This window comes from Homo sapiens, chromosome 5 (genome assembly GCF_000001405.40).
Source record: "Homo sapiens chromosome 5, GRCh38.p14 Primary Assembly".
NCBI classification, from domain to species: domain Eukaryota; kingdom Metazoa; phylum Chordata; class Mammalia; order Primates; family Hominidae; genus Homo; species Homo sapiens.
In genome coordinates, this window is record NC_000005.10 from 55848183 (window position 1) to 55866279 (window position 18097).

Sequence of the window (18097 nt, forward strand, 5' to 3'; positions counted from 1 at the left end):
AGGTGGGAGAAGAGAGGGAATTAAACTTCATTCACTTCTTAAAGATAGCAGTATCTACAGATCACTTAGAATTTTTCTATAAGGAAAATTAGTCTCTTCTTCCACATTTATTTATGCAATCATTTATTAATATTAATATGAAGTAATGTATATTTATTTTATACTTTGAATTATAATCCAGTATACATTATTCACTTTTTTGCTCAAATTGTTCTGGCTTTGGCTGGAAGTTCTTTCAGATTGGTTCCTGTGTCCCTTTGACATGCTCTATCCTTTTGCTTTTTCAACATTTCCTTACTATCTGGTACTACAAGATACTCCAGGCACATTTTGTATTTTCGTTGCCCAAGTCCTGAAATCAACCTTTTCTCCAAAAAGCTCTGGGTTTTAAAACAAATTACAATTTATCTGTTTTGGTTTTTATAAGCATTGCCATGATGACCATCCTTGATGTTATATCTCTGGAAAACTCCATGATTATTTCTTTTAGATAAATATCTAAAAGTGGAATTCCCGGATTAAAGGCATCTAAAATGCTTTTACTATGTTTTCCACTAACAAGGTGTGAGATGGGGGGGCTGCCTCAGGGGCTGCAACTCAAAGCCCACTTCAAATGGGAAACACTATCCATCCGTCAATCCATTTATCTATCTTAGAACTCTCTTTCTATGACTTTCTTATTTTCAAAACAAACAAGGAATAAAGAAAGAAAAAAATGAAACAAGTAAACAAAAGACCTCTCATCTAGACTCTCTAACCACCCAACAAATCACATTGCTCCTCCTAGGAGGAAATGGTTGAGGTGTCAGACTGAGAATGACATCTATTTCCCTTCATGGGGAGAGCACTTGTTAATTCACCTATTAATTCACTTTTAAAATATAATTTTACATTTTATCAAAGTAATACATATACATAGTTTAAACATTCAAGTGGCACTCTAAGACTTACCACGAATAACAGCAATACAGTGCTATATCCCTTCCCATTGCCAAACTTTCTTCACAGAAAAAATCACTTTCATTTCTTTTAGCTTTTTTTTTTTCTGGGGTTTATTTCCATATCTATAAAGAACATGTTTATACTGCAATTTAATTTTTTTTTCAATTTTAGACATTATCTATTGACTTCTTACTAACTATGGAAGATAAAGACTGAAGTCTCTTACCAATTCTATACACAAACACACACATATGTGCATCCTTTCCTAACCCCATTCTTTCAATATAGTTATAACTTTTGTTAAATCCATTAATGTTTTCATTGTTGTGACTCTATAGTTATTCATAGCTGAGCCACATATTGGACTTTAAATATATTTTCTTATATAACATTTTCTTTTTCCTGGAATTAATAATTATGCCATTTTTTGGTTTCCTTAACTTACTGAGCCGATTACTCATCCTTCTCCAAACTTTCTAAGAGTGCTGCAAAACTTTTCAAGTTTCAACATCTGTCAGATCCATTGGGTCCCCTCCATGTATTTTTTCATTGGAAATATCCCTCCTTGAGCCTGGCGTCTGCCACTCACTTGGGCTAGTTGCTCTCCAAGCCTGTTGTACTCTTATCATCTTGGGATCTCCCTTGGCCACCATTCTTGGAATTCTCTCTCTTCTATTTGAAATTTGCTGTTTTTGGGAGCCCATTTTTCCTTTTTGTTTTGGCTTATGCTCTTGTTTTTGTAGTCACTTTTTTCAATAACATCTCGAAAATGGTCACATGGGAGATAAAGTTCTTGAAACTTGGCATGTTGGAAAATGCAGTTTCAAGAACGTTGTTTTACCTTTCTTTCTGATGGATCATTTGGATGGGTAGAGCATCCTAGGTGAGAAATAATTTTCCAATAGAGTTATAAAGGAATTGATCCATTGCTTTCTAACTTCTGGTTTTGTTATTAAGTCTAAAGCCATTCTCATCCTTGATCCTTTGTATGTGACTTATTTTTTTCCTATCTGGAAACATTTTTTTTCTGTTTATTCTTGATATTCTGAAACTTCACTGTTTTGTACTTCAGTGTAGATTTATTTTCATTTATTATGCTGTTTACAGTGGGCCCTTTCAATCTGGAAACAAATGTTCCTCAATTCTTGGGAATTTTATTGTATCACTTCTCTCATTATTTCTTTCCCTCCATTCCTCTGTTCTGTGCTTCTGTACTGCTGGTAGTCAGATGTTGGCTATTCTTCATCTCTTTGTCTTTTCTTCTATCTTCTGGAAGATTTCCTCAACTTTATTTTCTAGTCTTTAGACTTCAGCTCTCATATTTTGAATCTCCAAGAGTTCTTGTTCTCTAATTATGCCTTTATCATAGCATCCTATTCATATTTTGTGGGTACAACATTTTTTCTTATTTTCTATGAAGGTTTAACTAATATTTCTTTTAAAAAATATTCTGCTTTCTGCATTGCCTTTCTTTCAAGTTTTTTCCCCCCATCTGCTGTTGGGATGGGAGAAATTTAATGAATTTGGCTTTGTGGGGTTAGGATTAGGTAGTCTATTTCTTTTTCAGATTTTCAACCAATCTTATGATTTTTGTTTCAGAGGTATAGTCAATTCTCATTATTCCTTCATTATTCCTGGCAATTATGTTCAATAAAATCGCCACAAACACTGAATTAGAAAATACTGCTGAGCGTGGTGGCTCATGCCTGTAATCCCAGCACTTTGGGAGGCCGAGGCAGGTGGATCACCTGAGGTCAGGAGTTTGAGACCAGCCTGAACAACATGGAGAAACCCCGTCTCTACTAAAAATACAAAATCAGCTGGGCTTGGTGGCGCATGCCTGTAATCCCAGCTACATGGGAGGCTGGCCTGAGGCAGGAGAATCACTTCAACCCGGGAGGTGGAGGTTGCGGTGAGCTGAGATGGCGCAATTGCACTCCAGCCTAAGCAACAAGAGCGAAACTCTGTCTCAGAAGAAAAAAAAAAAGAAAAAAAGAAAATACTGAATTATTCTCTGTGGGGGAAATATAGAGTTAGGTGCCTGTGAGCCTCTGGTCACAACATTTTTGTCAGCTAATCAATACATAACCTTGTTTTGTGTGTGTTTCTGTTTAAAGACACCTTATTTAATATACATTGTTGATTCATCAACATTGAACTCATGGCTAATAACAGTACTATGACTCATGCCTGAATAGAGCTTATTTAACACACATATTTTCTCCATGAGGCACAGCCTCCTTCTGCTTAGGAACACCAGACAGCACTCCAGCACTCTGCTTGGGGGGCATTCGAAACAGCAAAATCACTCATAAAAGGCAAAAAATTGCAAAAAAAAATAGTAATAACCAGCATGGCACTAAATAGACCATGAAAAGACATGTGTGTGCAGTATGAAAATTGAGACAGGAAGGCAGAGTGTCAGCTTGTTCCACCTCAGCTGGGAATGTGCATCAGGCAACTCAAGTTTTTCACCACGGCATGTGTCTGTGAATGTCCGCAAAACATTGTGAGTATTGATTTGGGGGGTTACAAATAATTCCTAGCAAGTAGGTGAATTCACAAATAAGGAAGCTGTGAGTAATGAGGGTTGATTTTACCTACCTAGTGTCTCAAATCCTGAGCCGTATGAGATTCCGTGGCATAATTATGTTTGCTTATTGTTGGCAACCTTATTAGGCATTTCTAGGTTTCTGCTTTCTCATCTTTACCAGTTCAGTTATGGCTTGATTCATTTCTCTTTTTCCAAAGATTTGTTGACATCTCTTATTTGCTGTTGCCTCTTCCCATTTGTTTTGTCTTGTGGTTCTATATCTTTGCCATAATTTTTGTGGAGTTTCCTGAGAGAGTAGAGATAAATGTATATGCTCAATTGGTCTTGTCTTAACCAGAATTCTATTTAATACACAACACCTTTAGTGAGCTGTTATGCATGTAATAGGTGTTTACTAAGTATTGGTTGAATAAATTCAAGAAATGCTTGCTATTTTTGTGCTAGCATTTAGCTTTTCTCTATAGTATATTATAATGGAATTTTATTTTATTTTATTTTATTTATTTTTTGAGACAGAGTTTCACTCTTGTCGCCAGGTTGGAGTACAATGGCACGATCTTGGCTCACTGCAACCTCTGCCTCCCGGGTTCAAGCGATTCTCCTGCCTCAGCCTCCCGAGTAGCTGGGATTACAGGTGCCTGCCACCATGCCTGACTAATTTTTTTGTATTTTTAGTAGAGATGGGGTTTTGCCATGTTGGTCAGGCTGGTCTCAAACTCCTGACATCAGGTGATCCACCTGCCTCAGCCTCCCAAAGTGCTGGGATTACAGGCGTGAGCCACCACGCCTGGCTGGAATTTTAAATATCTCATAATTATAATCTTCTAGGTAAAAGACTAGCTCTCTTTCTCACCCTTATTCCTCCTACTTAGTGGAACATTGCCTAAGGAAGATGGGGAATGGGTTAAAAATTAAAATGTGGGGCTGGAAAGCATAGCTTGTTTTAAAACTTAGTTTTCTTTCCTTTTGCATCATAATCTCTTCCCCGGTCTATTTATTTCTCGTGGTTTTGTCAGTCCATTACAAACGGTTGCAAAATTGTGGTACTAGAAGGGATCCTAGAAATAATCTAATTTGAACCTTTGATTGCTAGGAAACTGAGAGTCAGGCTGCCTTGGTTCAAGTCTTGGCTCCACCACCCATGTAGGACATGTTGCTTACTGTTTTGACCTCAGTTTCCTTGCCTATAAAGTGGGAATAAAAATACTCCTGATGTTATAGGATTGTTGTGAAGATTAAAAGAGATAATTAATGTGAAGTTCTTAGTACTATGCCTGACACACAGTAAGAGCTCCACAAATTATTAATGATGATTATTACTAGTGGCTAAACTGAAGCTCTGGTTTCTCAGTTCAGTATGTTTTCCTTTAGACGTAAATAAGAATTTGTAAGCCTCTTTTTGGAGTCAGCTACCATTATTTTCTTTCCTTCATCTCCTTCATTGTCTAAAGACAGTTAACATGATTGCGTATTTCTCATTTCAAGCTAAAGATACTCTCACTGTTTCAGCTATTACCACATTTGTAAGGACTTCCTGAAGAGAAAATTTAAAAGTTAGTCACTTCTTTTAGTTGTTTCTGGTCTTTCAGATGATCCTTTTTTTTTGTAGAGTTGAGTGTTTTTGTTTTTGCTTTTGTTTTTAGTTAACAATAATGCAATCCATTTCCCAGCATAAGTGGGTAAGTGCCACTTTGACTTGGGCTGGGCTTAAAAGCACAAGAAAAGCTCGCAGACAATCAGAGTGGAAACACTCCCACATCTTAGTGTGGATAAATTAAAGTCCAGATTGTTCTTCCTGTCCTGACTTGTGCTGTGGGAGGTGGAGTTGCCTTTGATGCAAATCCTTTGAGCCAGCAGAACATCTGTGGAACATCCCCTGATACATGAAGGTGAGTGCTAATTCATTTAGAAGAGTGATAGTTTGATCATCTTTTTCTACTTTATAAAAGTCTTTTTCTGTTTTCTTCAGTGAAATTATGGGTCAGACCCACCACGTGAATTTCTCCTTGAACTGGTTGTTGATAGTTAAGGGAATCTAATCTTTTGGCAGGCAATATTTTAAAATGCTGAGATCAGAATGGAGAATCATGAGTGTTAGAGGTGAAGGATTGGGGAAAATATCTGAAATAATGGATTTATCTTTCAGGAAACTCTAGGCTAGAGAAAATTAGACCTAGAGGATTCAGAGGAAAATCCTTGTGTGTACTGGTATTTCATGGCAGGAGAGCTGAGAGAGAGTAAATCACTAATAGCTACCACATGATTTTAGTGGAAAGAGTCCAGGTTTGGAATAAGACAGTCGTGAGTTTGAATCTCATTTATGCTGCTTACAAACTATTATTTTTGGACAATTTACATGATATCTCTTGGCCTCAGATTCCATATCCGTAAACTAGAGATGAGTAATACAAACCCTACACGGATTTTTAGAAGTACAGGATGTAATTTGTATAGTGTAGTTAGCACTTTGCAGGCTGTCACTGTTCCAACATGATAGTGCTTTTGCCAGTCTCACTACTGGCTGTCTCAGAATGTTCTTTAAATGAAGGCAGCCCACAACCCAAATGGATTTATAGACTTTGAAACTGGAGGTAGTCATCTGACAGCTCGCAATCTCATCTTGGGCAATGTATATATAATCAATATCCTCATCCAAAAAGTAAGGATGTCATTATTTTATTAGGCTGAAATTGCCAAGATTTAACTGTTTTTGACTTAATAAAAATAGCAATTTCATTTGATTTAACCTAAAACATAATATAGAAATAAAATTTAAAATATGCAGGCCGGGCAAAGTGGCTCACACCTGTAATCCCACCACTTTGGGAGGTCGAGGCAGGTGGATCACCTGAGGTCAGAAGTTTGAGACCAGCCTGGCCAACATGGCGAAACTCTGTCTCTACTAAAAATACAAAAATTACCTGGGCCTGTTGGCAGGCACCTGTAGTCCCAGCTACTTGGGAGGCTGAGGCAGGAGAATCACTTGAACCCGCGAGGCAGAGGTTGCAGTGAACCGAGACTGCACCACTGCACTCCAGTCTGGGTCACAGAGTGAGACCCCGTCTCCAGAAAAAAAAAAAGAAATAAAATATAAAATATGCAACTATAAATATAAAATATATAAATAGAAAATATAAAAATATCTGTCTCATTTACCTGAAGGGTGACAAGAATCTAAGGAGATAGTATACATGAAAGTGCTTGTAAATCTAAGGCCATTATTACTGCGACTATTATCATTACTGCAAGCTCCAAATAAACATTTAAAAGAGACTGAGAACAGGGCACCCTTCTACTTGATCAGTGAAAGTATAAACCAAGTCCTGTGGGTCTTGAGGAATTCTGAGGCACTGAGAGAGGCTGAGCAGTGCATCGCTTGACTACCTCCCTCTCAGTGTTATGAGTCTGCAGGTGCTTGAACTTATGGCCATAGTGCTGGCCCTAGAAGTTACTCCCTCTTCTTTGCCATTTTTTATTTTTTTATTTGAGACAGTCTCACTCTGCTGCCCAGGCTGGAGTGCAGTGGTGTGATCATAGCTCATTGCAGCTTCAAACTCCTGGGCCCAAGCATTGTCCCACCTCAACCTCCTGTGTAGCTAGGACTACAGGTGTGCACCATGACACTCAGATAATTTAAAATATATATATATATATATTTTTAGAGACAGAGTCTTGCTATGTTGCCCAGACTAGTCTTGAACTCCTGGTTTGCCATTCTTTAAAAACCCAGTTCTATACTGCAGGAGATAGTGTTTGGCACAGAATGAGAATCAACAAATAGTAGCTGAGTGAATGTATGAATGAATGAACCAAAGGAAGGCAAGCCCTGGGAAAATCACGTAGTGGTACATTCTTGTACAAGTGAAATGAGATGAAGCTCAGCACCCAGGACACAGCCTTGAGTGGGAGCTGAATGGCCAAAGAGCACCCTGTGAAGTATCCATTTTATGGGGGATTGCGTGGGAGTAAAACAGCCACACTCTATTTCCTTTGCTTTGGTCCTGTGAGACAGGATGTGGGGAGGCAGGGATAATTTAACATGCTGAAATGTGTAGCGTTTCCCAGCAGAGGCAGTAGCTTCCATCTTTGCTTTCTTCTCGCTGTGTTCCCAGCCACTGCTGGTAGTCAGTAATAAGTGCTTAGATTTGTTTGCAGTCGTTCTACTCCAAACAGTAGCTGCTACTAGGTTTACATCTCTTTTGTTGTTGGTTTTGTTGTTGTTTGTTTGTTTGTTTTAAGATGGAGCCTTGGTCTGTAACCCAGGCTGGGGTGCAGTGGCACAACCTCTGCTCACTGTAACCTCTGCCTTTTGAGTTCAAGCAATTCTCCTGCCTTAGCCTCCTGAGTAGCTAGGATTACAAGTTTGGGCTACCTTGCCCAGCTAATTTTTGTATTTTTCGTTCAGATGGGGTTTTGCCATACTGGCCAGGCTGGTCTCAAACTTCTGACCTCAAGTGATCTGCCTGCCTTGGCCTCCCAAAGTGCTGGGATTACAGGCATGAGCCACCACGCCTGGCCAACATCTTTAAGCATAGGACACCACTAGTTACTTAAGTGGCATCACTGTATATTCTAAGAGTCTTTTAGTTCAATATGGCATATTTGTAGTGTTGTTGGAAGATTTTATAGAGCTCTGCTAAATGCTGTACTCAAATGAGATCCCACCAATGTGAGATTGTTTCTAGGAAATGACCCCTTTTTGAAGACCAGTTATTCAAAACTGCTGCATTTCAAAGTTAAGGCTGATGACCCAGGGATGCAGGAAATGATTGATGGCTCTCCTCAAGAGCACAGCAGAATCTTTGGGAATTTCTTATGGCCCAGATTTGGGGAGGCTGATTCACCTCATTTAAGTCTTCAAGAGACTGATATATTGAAACCAATAAGAAATAGTCTTTCTAATGCCTGGAAGGCTCATATTCTTTGTTCAGGGCCTTCTTCCGTTAAATTAGTAATCAGAGAGGGCATCAGAGAATCAGAGCAATCAGAAAGGGAGATTCGGGGTTTTGAAGTATCTTTCATCAGGTTCATGGTGAGGTCTTGTGGCTGCCCTGTCAGAGTCTTTCGCTCCAGTGACAGGAAATTTCATAATTTCCTTTCGTAGATAGTACTGGATAAAAACTGCCAACTTCTGTCTTTTTTAACCATCAATATTTTACATTCTAAGGTGACCTCTCCTTTCTTTCCTCAAAGTCTTCTGTTTAGGATACAATTAGTTGAGTAGATTCCCGCAACTAAATGATAATGAAGGTTTTCCAAATCCAACTCTTTGAGATTATACACAGGTTTCTTTGGCTGGAGTCCTGAATGAACTCAAGCTTATCAACTGCACATCTACCCACCACAGATAACCAGGATCACCTTGAACTCTCTACTGGACTTATTTCTAAGCCCCTGGGAGGCATCTCACCTTTTTGCATTTTTTTTTTTTCTTTTTTGAGACAGCATCTGGCTCTGTCACCCAGGCTGAAGTGCAGTCATGAGATCACAGTTCACTGCAGCCTCAACCTCCCAGGCTCAAGCCAGCCTCCCATCTTAGCCTCCCAAATAGCTGAGACTACAGGCACATGCCACCATACCCGGCTGATTTTATTGTGTGTTTTGTAGAGATGGGGTATCACCATGTTGCTCAGGCTGGTCTTGAACTCCTGACCTCAAGTGATCCGCCCACCTCAGCCTCCCAAAGTCTTGGGATTACATGTTGTGAGCCACTGCGCCCAGCCTTTGTTCACATTTTTTACCAGCAAGCAGTCCTTTTTGTGGTGAGAGGAGAATGTGGGAAAGGCTGTGGAGGACAAGCAAGTATTAGAATGAGAGATTTCATCCTAATGGCAAGGCTTGTTGACTTCCCACAGTCATTAGCTCATTTCTCTTTTTAGATGCTCTTTGCGCTCATTTCACTATTGTAACTATACTTACTATGTGATATATGAGACTACTATCCAGGCTTCTGTCTCTGCAAGTGGACCAGTGGTTCTTAACCCATTTCTGTTCAAACCTACTGCAGAAATATGACATGAGAGTCCTCAGTAACAGCAGTTCACTCTGAAATTGGTAGTTTCCAAAAATATTCCTGCTATCCTCTCCATCCTTTTCTCCCTTCCCTTTGTTAAAAATCACTGAACTAGAATATGAGCTCTTTGAGGTCAGAGATGTGCTCTTCTTTGATTCCAACCACCTAACACATGGCTGGGACAGTGCTGAACACATAGAAGAATGCCTGAGGTCACCAGTTTGTTTGTGAGAGGGCCAGGACCACAACTCAGGCAGTCTCAATTTCTAGAATGCTACACTTTTCAACTACTGTAACTTTTCCAGTTTTGTCTCTGGGATGATTTAGTACTGCTGATTTTTTTCTAAGGTTTTTTTTTTAAATTTCACAAATAATAGCTGAGTATTTTTATTGTAAAGGAGTCAAGCAATAATTACCATTAACTTAAAAATATTTTAATATTTTATTCAACATTTAATATTGATAGGATTTTAAATGCAAAACCGCTTGTCAGAATAGCAATTTTAGTTTTAGCATCTATTATTATTCATTGATTCACTTATTAAGACTGCCAGCATCTTGGCTTTCATAGCCTTCCTTTTTAATGTGCTTTTAGGACTTGTAAATAATGTGAGCTAGGACTAAAGGCGTGTCTTCTTCTTAACAGATGGAGAAGATTAAGACAACATTCTGAATAATTAGACACAAAAAGAATGTTCTTAGTGTTATAGTTATTTTTAAAGACACCTTTTTTCTTCATTGAAAAATTGAAATGTTTCCCTTTGAGTTATATACCCATTTAAATCAAAATGGCTATCTTTATTATCTTAGGCAGTTCCAATTCGCTAAGGATTTCAGTTGGTTCATATGTGAGAAAATGTTATCCCTCTAATTTTCTCCAGAAATCCTGCATGCACATTTTTCTAAAGTAACTTATTTTGTAAAGAACCCTTTTCTTTTTTTTTTCTATAATGATCTGGCAGATGAAAATGTAACATCATTTATTTCTTCCTGAAATGAATTACTGGTTTTACATTTGCTTTATTCTTAGACTATCCCACCATTTCATCTTAGATGAGATGAAGAGCCAGCATTCTTTTTGTTCCAATAAACAAGTAAATGCCACAAACAGTATTGTCTACCAGGTACCAGGCACTGCCTTAGATACCAAGGCTTCAAAGAGGAAGAAGAGAGGTTCCACTCTTAAGAAGGTCCCTGTATGTAGGGAAGCCGTCAGGTAAATTGCTGACCACCATTCTTGTGGCAGATGCTGTAGGACACATGATATAGTGGGGCATGGGGCACAAAGGAGGGACCAACTGGCATCTCCATGCGGGAATTCAGAGAGGGCGTCTTAGGGAAGGAGAGCCTTGAAATGAGTCTGGAAAGGTGATTAATTTGTCAGAAATAAGGGGAAAGGAGCACTGTGGGCATGCATAGAGCATGGAGATGTGAGATAGCGTGGTGCTTGGCAAAACTGTGAGTTGTTCCATTTGGCTGGAGGGCCTAGGCACTGAGGCAAGGGCCAGAGGATGGCCTCATAGCTGCACATACTCATTTTTTTTTCTGGAGCACATTCTTGGTAGTTGGTATACTTTTCATAAGACATAGTGGAGTAGACGATGGACGAAAGGAAAACGTGTTGTAATTGCAAATCTTTAAAATGTTGACTGGGGTTGATGGAGTAATTATGAAGGATCTAGGTGATGATAGTCAACAAATAAAATAAAATAGGATCCTTCCTCCTTCCAAAATCCCCAGAATCTATTTGCCATTGGAAATAGAGCTTTTGAAAAGAGATATGAAGCAAACCAACTCTTGACTGATGTCATTTTCAGCTCTCTCCCCAGCCTTCATGTGTTAACCTGGGGATGATGTGGACCTGGGCACTGTGGATGCTCCCCTCACTCTGCAAATTCAGCCTGGCAGGTAGGTTGACCTGGGCCCTTTTACAGATCATGTGATTATTATTGCCTTCTTTGGACAAGAGTTGTTAACTTTAAAGCGACACCTGGATTATGGACATCCACAGATAGAAAAGGGGACTTGTGAACACCCTGAATTTGTGTGTGTGTCTGTGTGTGCACACATGCATGCAATTTCACATATACTCATGCATGTGCAAATGTGGCAAGATGGCTTACCATATTTTCAAAGGGAGATACAACCCCCAAAATGCTGAGATCTACTGTTTTAGAATATAGTAGTCTCTCCTTATCTGTGGGGGAATATGTTCCAAGATCCTCAGTGGATGCCTGAAACTGTGGATAGTACCAAACCCTATATATAGTACATTTTTCCTTCACATATATACCTATGATGAAGTTTAGGTACATTTAGGCATGAAGAGATTAAAACAATAACTAATAATAAAATGGAGCCATTAAAACAATTTACTATAATAAAAGTTAGGTGAGGTCTGGCACAGTGGCTCATGCCTGTAATCCCAGCACTTTGGGAGGCTGAGGCGGGCAGATTTTTTGAGGTCAGGAGTTCGAGAGCAGCCTGACCAACATGGTAAAACCCCGTCTCTACTAAAAATACAAAAATTAACCGAGTATGGTGGCTCACGCTTGTAATCCCAGCTACTTGGGAGGCTGAGGTGGGAAGATCACTTGAACCTGGGAGGCGGAGGTTGCAGTGAGCCTAGATTGTGCCACGGCACTCCAGCCTGGGCCAGAGCAAGACCTTGTCTCAAAAAAAAAAAAAATGTTATGTGAATGTGGTCTCTCTCTCTCTAAATATCTCATTGTACTGCACTCACCCATTTTCAGATGGCGTTGATCACTAGTAACTGAAACTACAGAAAGTAAAACCATAGATAAGAGGGAACTACTATAATAGGAAGTGCTTATCTCCATAGTTTTTGTGTTGTTGTTATGGCTTCATATAATACACATACATAAATACAAAAATAAGCAGTTTTCATACTATTTGCCATAAAGGGAAATAATGAAACAACATTTCTATAGTGTTCCAACTCAAGACTACAGGCCTGATATCCATACAATAGCTTGTAGATCTAAGATCCATTTGTTTGATTATATCTTAAGTTTAAAACAATATTAAGAGCAGAGACACTGGTCTGGTAGTGGGAAGGTGGGGAAGGCGTCATGTAGCGTATTCGTGTGCTTGGGCTGCCATAACAAAATACCTCAGACTGGGTGGCTTAAGCAACAGAAATTTATTTTCTCACGGTTCTGGAGGCTGGAAGTCCAGTGTCAAGGTGGCAGCAGGGCTGGTTTGCAGGTGGCCTTCCTTTTGCTGCCTCTTCACATGGTCATCCCTCTGTGCCCACACAACCCTGGTGTCTCTCCTCCTCCTAAGGATGCCAGTCAGATTGGATTAGGGCCCATCATAATGGTCCCATTTTAACTTAATTACCTCTTCAAGTGCTCTATCTCCAAATATAATCACATTTTGAGGTACTGGGGGTTAGGACTTCATTATGTGAATTTTGGAGAGACATAATTTAGCCTATAACATGTACTAATTGGGGTCACCAAGAGGGCAGTCATGACCCAGAGATAATGAGAATGCCTTCAGACTTCTGTCCTGGCATGGCCTGCCTTAGCCCCTTGGGGTTACACCTGTGGCACTCAGGAGCTTGATAGACCAGGGGTCCCCAACCCCCAGGCTGCAGACCATGTTAGGAACTGGGCCACACAGCAGGAGATGAGCTGCTGGTGAGCCAGAGTTACTGCCTGAGCTCCGCCTCCTGTCAAATCAGCAGCGGCATGAGATTCTCATGGGAGCACGAACCCTATTGTGAACTGTGCATATGAGGGATCTATTAATAGGTTGTGTGCTCCTTATGATAATCTAATGCCTGATGATCTGAGGTGAAACAGTTTCATCCCGAAACCATCCGTACCCCAGGTCCATGGAAAAATTATCTTCCACAAAACTGGTCCCTGGTGCCAAAATGTAGGGGACTGCTGTGATAGAAAATAGATGATACAGGCAGGCAGGACTATTGCTCTCCCTCTCATCAGCAATTGCTCCCAGTTATCTAATCTAAACTTCTAATTACAGACACTGTGGCTCCTATCAAGTCACCCTTTCCCTCCACTTGTCTTTTTCTGTCTTCTATCTCTGTTTTCCACTCTTCCTATGTTGTACATATACCAGCTCCTACAAAACTGGCTCCAATATCCACCATTCTTTTCATCTAGAATATCCTTCCCTTGGTCCTGCTCAGCCTTGCTCTTCTATGTCAAGATATTTTTCAAAACACTGACTTTGCAACAGCACCAAAGTGATATGAGTATAGAGGGAAGGAGGGAGATGGAGAACATCTCTATAATTTTGGAAAATGTTCCTCTTGCGTATGGGAAATTCTCTGATAAGCAAGAACATTCTCCCAATTTTTCTTAGAGGAAGTGATGAATGTTTTTCCCCTTATTTCTAGAAATAGGGGAATATTGCTATGGTTCGTATTTTGAGGGAATAGGGAAAGAAAGATGGGAGTGACCAGCAAGCCTAACCTTCAGTTGTTTGTATTTATAAAATAAAAATTCTATTTTGACTAATTTTAGATTTATAGAAAAACTGTGAAAATAGCATAGAGAGTTCCTTTCTACCCTCATCCAGTTTATCCATTGTTACTATCTTATAATACAATAAAAATTTGCCAAAACTAAGAAATTGATTTTGGCACATTACTATTGACTAAATTCCAAATTTTATTTGGATTTCACTAGTTTTTCCATGAATGACTTCTTTCTACTTTATTTTTAATTTTTTTTTCTGAGACGGAGTCTCGCTCTGTCGCCCTGGCTGGAGTGGAGTTCAGTGGTGCAATCTCAGCTCACTGCAACCTCTGCCTCCTGGGTTCAAGCAATTCTCCTGCCTCAGCTTCCTGAGTAGATAGGATTATAGGCGTGTGCCACCATGCCTGGCTAATTTTTGTATTTTTAGTAGAGATGGGGTTTCACCATGTTGGCCCGGCTGGTCTCCAACTCCTGAACTCGTGATCCGCCCATCTTGGCCTCCCAAAGTGCTGGGATTACAGGTGTGAGCCACTATGCTCAGCCTGAATGACTTCTTCCTATTCCAGGATCCAATTTAGGGTACCACATTGCGTTGAATTGTCATGTCTCCTTGGTCTCTGCCGGTCTGTTACAGGTCCTTAGTCTTTCCTTACTATTCATGACCGTGGCAGTCTTAAGGAGTACTGACAAGTATTTCTGGGTTTAGGGGGAAAAAGGCAACAGAGGTGAAGTGTTCTTCATTGTGCATCACAATTTTACCCATGTTTGTGACAATCTTCTGAGGGAGAATTGAATAAGACTTAAAATAGGCACACTGATTGCCAACAAGGAGGAAGGCAGGACAACAGATGTGTAGGCTCTGCCAGCCAAGGCAGTTCTAGTACATACAGCCAAGGTCGTTCAGCTATGTGGAATCACTCCAGATAACTGAAACTGGAAAAGGTAAAGAAAATCTAGAAAGTAGAAGTGAAGTCTAACATTGTTGATTTGGTTCAATTTTATTCCAGTTTCCCTCAACCCCCTAATCTGTGATAAAATGAATCTAAAATCCTCATATGCAGAATTAAAATGTCATGAGGACACAAAACTAGGGAAAGCTATTGTTAAATTCCTCCTCCAAGTCTGAGAATACTGGAGAGAACAGGCTATTTAGGTATTAGTCAGGGAGAGTTGTTTATGCTGTAATAATAAACAAGCCTAAAATATTAGTATTTAAAACAGCAAACTACATGTCCATCACAGGTAAGCAGGGGCTCAGGCTGGTGGGGCTCTGCTATCCTCACACACACCATGTCAGCATCCGTTTTCAAGGCGTGCAGTAACAGGAGGAGGAGAGAAAAGAGAGTCATGCGCCATCACTTGGACGCTTCCTCTCACATGGCAAAGGCCAAGGCAAATCCCATGGCCACCCTATTGATGAGCACTGGAAATATTGGTGAGCATTCATTTTATCTACCACAAATCTCTTCTGTAACACCAATATCAAGAGAGCCTTTGTAAGACTATTGTTCTCTCTTACCATGTGCCAACCAGTAAGGGAAAAACAAATGTAGTCTCATAAGAACAGCCTGGGTTGAGCGGAAAATCATTTTTGGAACCACTTACTCTTCTCCTGGTGGCTCCAAAAATCATTGACACCTGGTGACACTTAACGGTTCTGAAAAACAGATATTTAACTCTCTTTTTAGCTTATGGCTTCTCATATATGTTAACCAAAGCTTTTGAAGAAGCTTAGGAGAGGTATTTAAGGAAGAACAGGAAAGAGCAGGATTCACTTAGGTTTGACTGGAGTGTATTTAGATCCACAAGGATCTATTCCTCCATTGATATCTTGGTGGCTGGCTTTGGATTCAACCAACGCAAGGGAGAGCAAGAATGAAAAGGAAATAAAATAAAATATGACTGCAGGAGGCCGTAATGAGAATAATATAAGACTAAGACTATTCTGGGGAAATGGGGAAAGGCTTCTTGTTTCCTTGTTCTCTGGCCAAGAATCAACTTTGAAATCCTCCGGCGAGTTAGTGTGACGAGTATGAGCGAAATGGGGGTGCGGCAGCCTACCCTTTTGTGAATATTTGTAAGAAACTTGGCCAGAGACTGAGGATAGATCCACATATATACACACAGACACACACACACACACACACACCACACATATACATCACACACACCACACTACACACACACACACACCACACACACTACACACACACCACACATATACATCACACACACCACGCACACACCACAAACATACCACACACCCCACACTACACACACACACCACACATACTGCACATATACATCATACACACCATGCACACATCATAATCATACTACACACACCACACTACACACACACTATAAACACATCACACACACTACACACACCACACATATGTCACACATACCACACAAACACATCACACACACCATAAACATACCATACACACCACACACACACAGACCACACGCACACACCAACACGCTCCAGCGGACACACACTATATATGCATTATAAACACATCACACATACTACACACATACCACACATACACCACACATACCCTGCACACACTACACACACACCACGTACACATACACACTACACACATACCACACACACTCTACACACACACCATTCACACATATACTATGCACACATACTACACATACCACACACATCACACACATACCCCACACACATTTTACACATGACATACACACCGCACACTACACACACACCCCATACACACACATGCACTGTACACGCACTGCCCTTATCTCTGAGCCATGGAGACAGGGAGTGAGTGGGACAGTGTGTGAGTTATTCCTCCTGGGTGTTGCAAGCTAACCCTTGGTTCACCTCTTGTAGGACTTTGCACTTCCTCCTGACAGTTGGGAGGCATGAGGTTTGTTAACATTCTGTTTGCTGACCCCAAAAGTCCTCAGGGAGGGTTCCAAGCTGCGTGGGCTCTTTGAGAAATGTGTTAATGGTGTAGCTTTCAATCTCTATGTAACATGCAGTATTATTTGATTCAGATCCAGTTAACTTTGGTCTTTTTAAGCATTTGGATCTGGAGATCACTGGCTTCCTCATGGTTTTCAGCATGCAAGTAGCAAAGATAGAAAGCCTTTGAACTGCTTGTTGGATGCGTGCTGTGGGTGCCTGGCTCATGTGCAGGACTAGGAGGAAGGCAGCTTCTCTGGAGAGAGCGAGAAAAGTTGACACAACAGGAAGCCATCTAGCTCTCCCTCACCCTCATTTGTCATTCTCAGTGGCTCCTTTACCCATGTAGACAATGCTCAGTTCATAGACCAAATACATGAATGTATATACAAACACACACATTTACAACCCTTTTAAAATCCCAAACCTAAACAAAACAAAACAATGAATGCTACCCATTCTGGAACCCCTTTACACCACCTTCTTGTTATAGGGTAATACCTCTGACAGAGTTGAAATATATATAATATTATTCAGATGTGCAGAGAAATGGAACATCCCTATTTTCTATGATCAAACGAGTCATTTTCTAAAGTCCCCTTACCACTGGAAAGTCAGGCAAGGGTGAGAAAGAGGAGGGTGTGGGTAGCACTTAAATTTGTTAACGTTGTGTCATTTCTTCTGGTTTAAGATGTCTTTGGCTAGCTCAGTCTCTTTGGGGTTCCTGCCTTGCCCTCTGCTCCTCCTTAAGATTGTGTCTGAATATATGAGCAAGGCTTATGTGACTGCAGACTTGGATGCGTGGGAATAAGTCCTTGTGTTGCCCTCTGTCTTCCCTGAACTGTCTGGTGTGGTCTGATCCCCCTCTGCCATCTGCCATGGGGCAGCTGGCTTTGCCTGTGCTTTGGGCCACAGCTTATGCTCCAGTTGTTTGTCCATGGTCCTGAAGTTCCTCTGTGAATGGAAGCTGCTTCATCCTCATCCCAGGCCTGGTCCCGTCTCACAGCTGTATCCTCGCCCCTGACTTTGAGGGCACAGGGAAATTTCTGGATCCCTGTGTGCTACATTCACCTGCATAGAGCTCACATGAGGAGCTGCACCAGGCCACCCTCTGCCAGCACATTGTTAGGACTTCCATGCCACCATAGAGTTGGTGCTTAGTGGAA

The 18097-nt window shown here is 40.6% G+C and overlaps 1 protein-coding gene across 9 annotated transcripts in view; it reads left to right on the plus strand.

Annotated features, from left to right (window-relative positions):
- IL31RA (interleukin 31 receptor A) overlaps positions 1-18097 on the plus strand; it is an 83062-nt gene that overhangs the window by 8394 nt on the left and 56571 nt on the right. For 3 of the 9 annotated variants that reach the window (NM_139017.7, NM_001242637.2, NM_001297570.3), the window contains exons 1-2: positions 3175-3451; positions 11327-11417. In NM_139017.7, the coding sequence (NP_620586.3) occupies positions 3389-3451; positions 11327-11417 (154 nt within the window). In that variant the 5' untranslated portion in view covers positions 3175-3388. Of the gene's footprint in view, positions 1-3174; positions 3452-4012; positions 4131-5139; positions 5386-11326; positions 11418-18097 lie in introns of those variants that run through there. The other 6 variants (NM_001242639.2, NM_001242636.2, NM_001242638.2 and 3 more) reach the window with 5 other exon arrangements.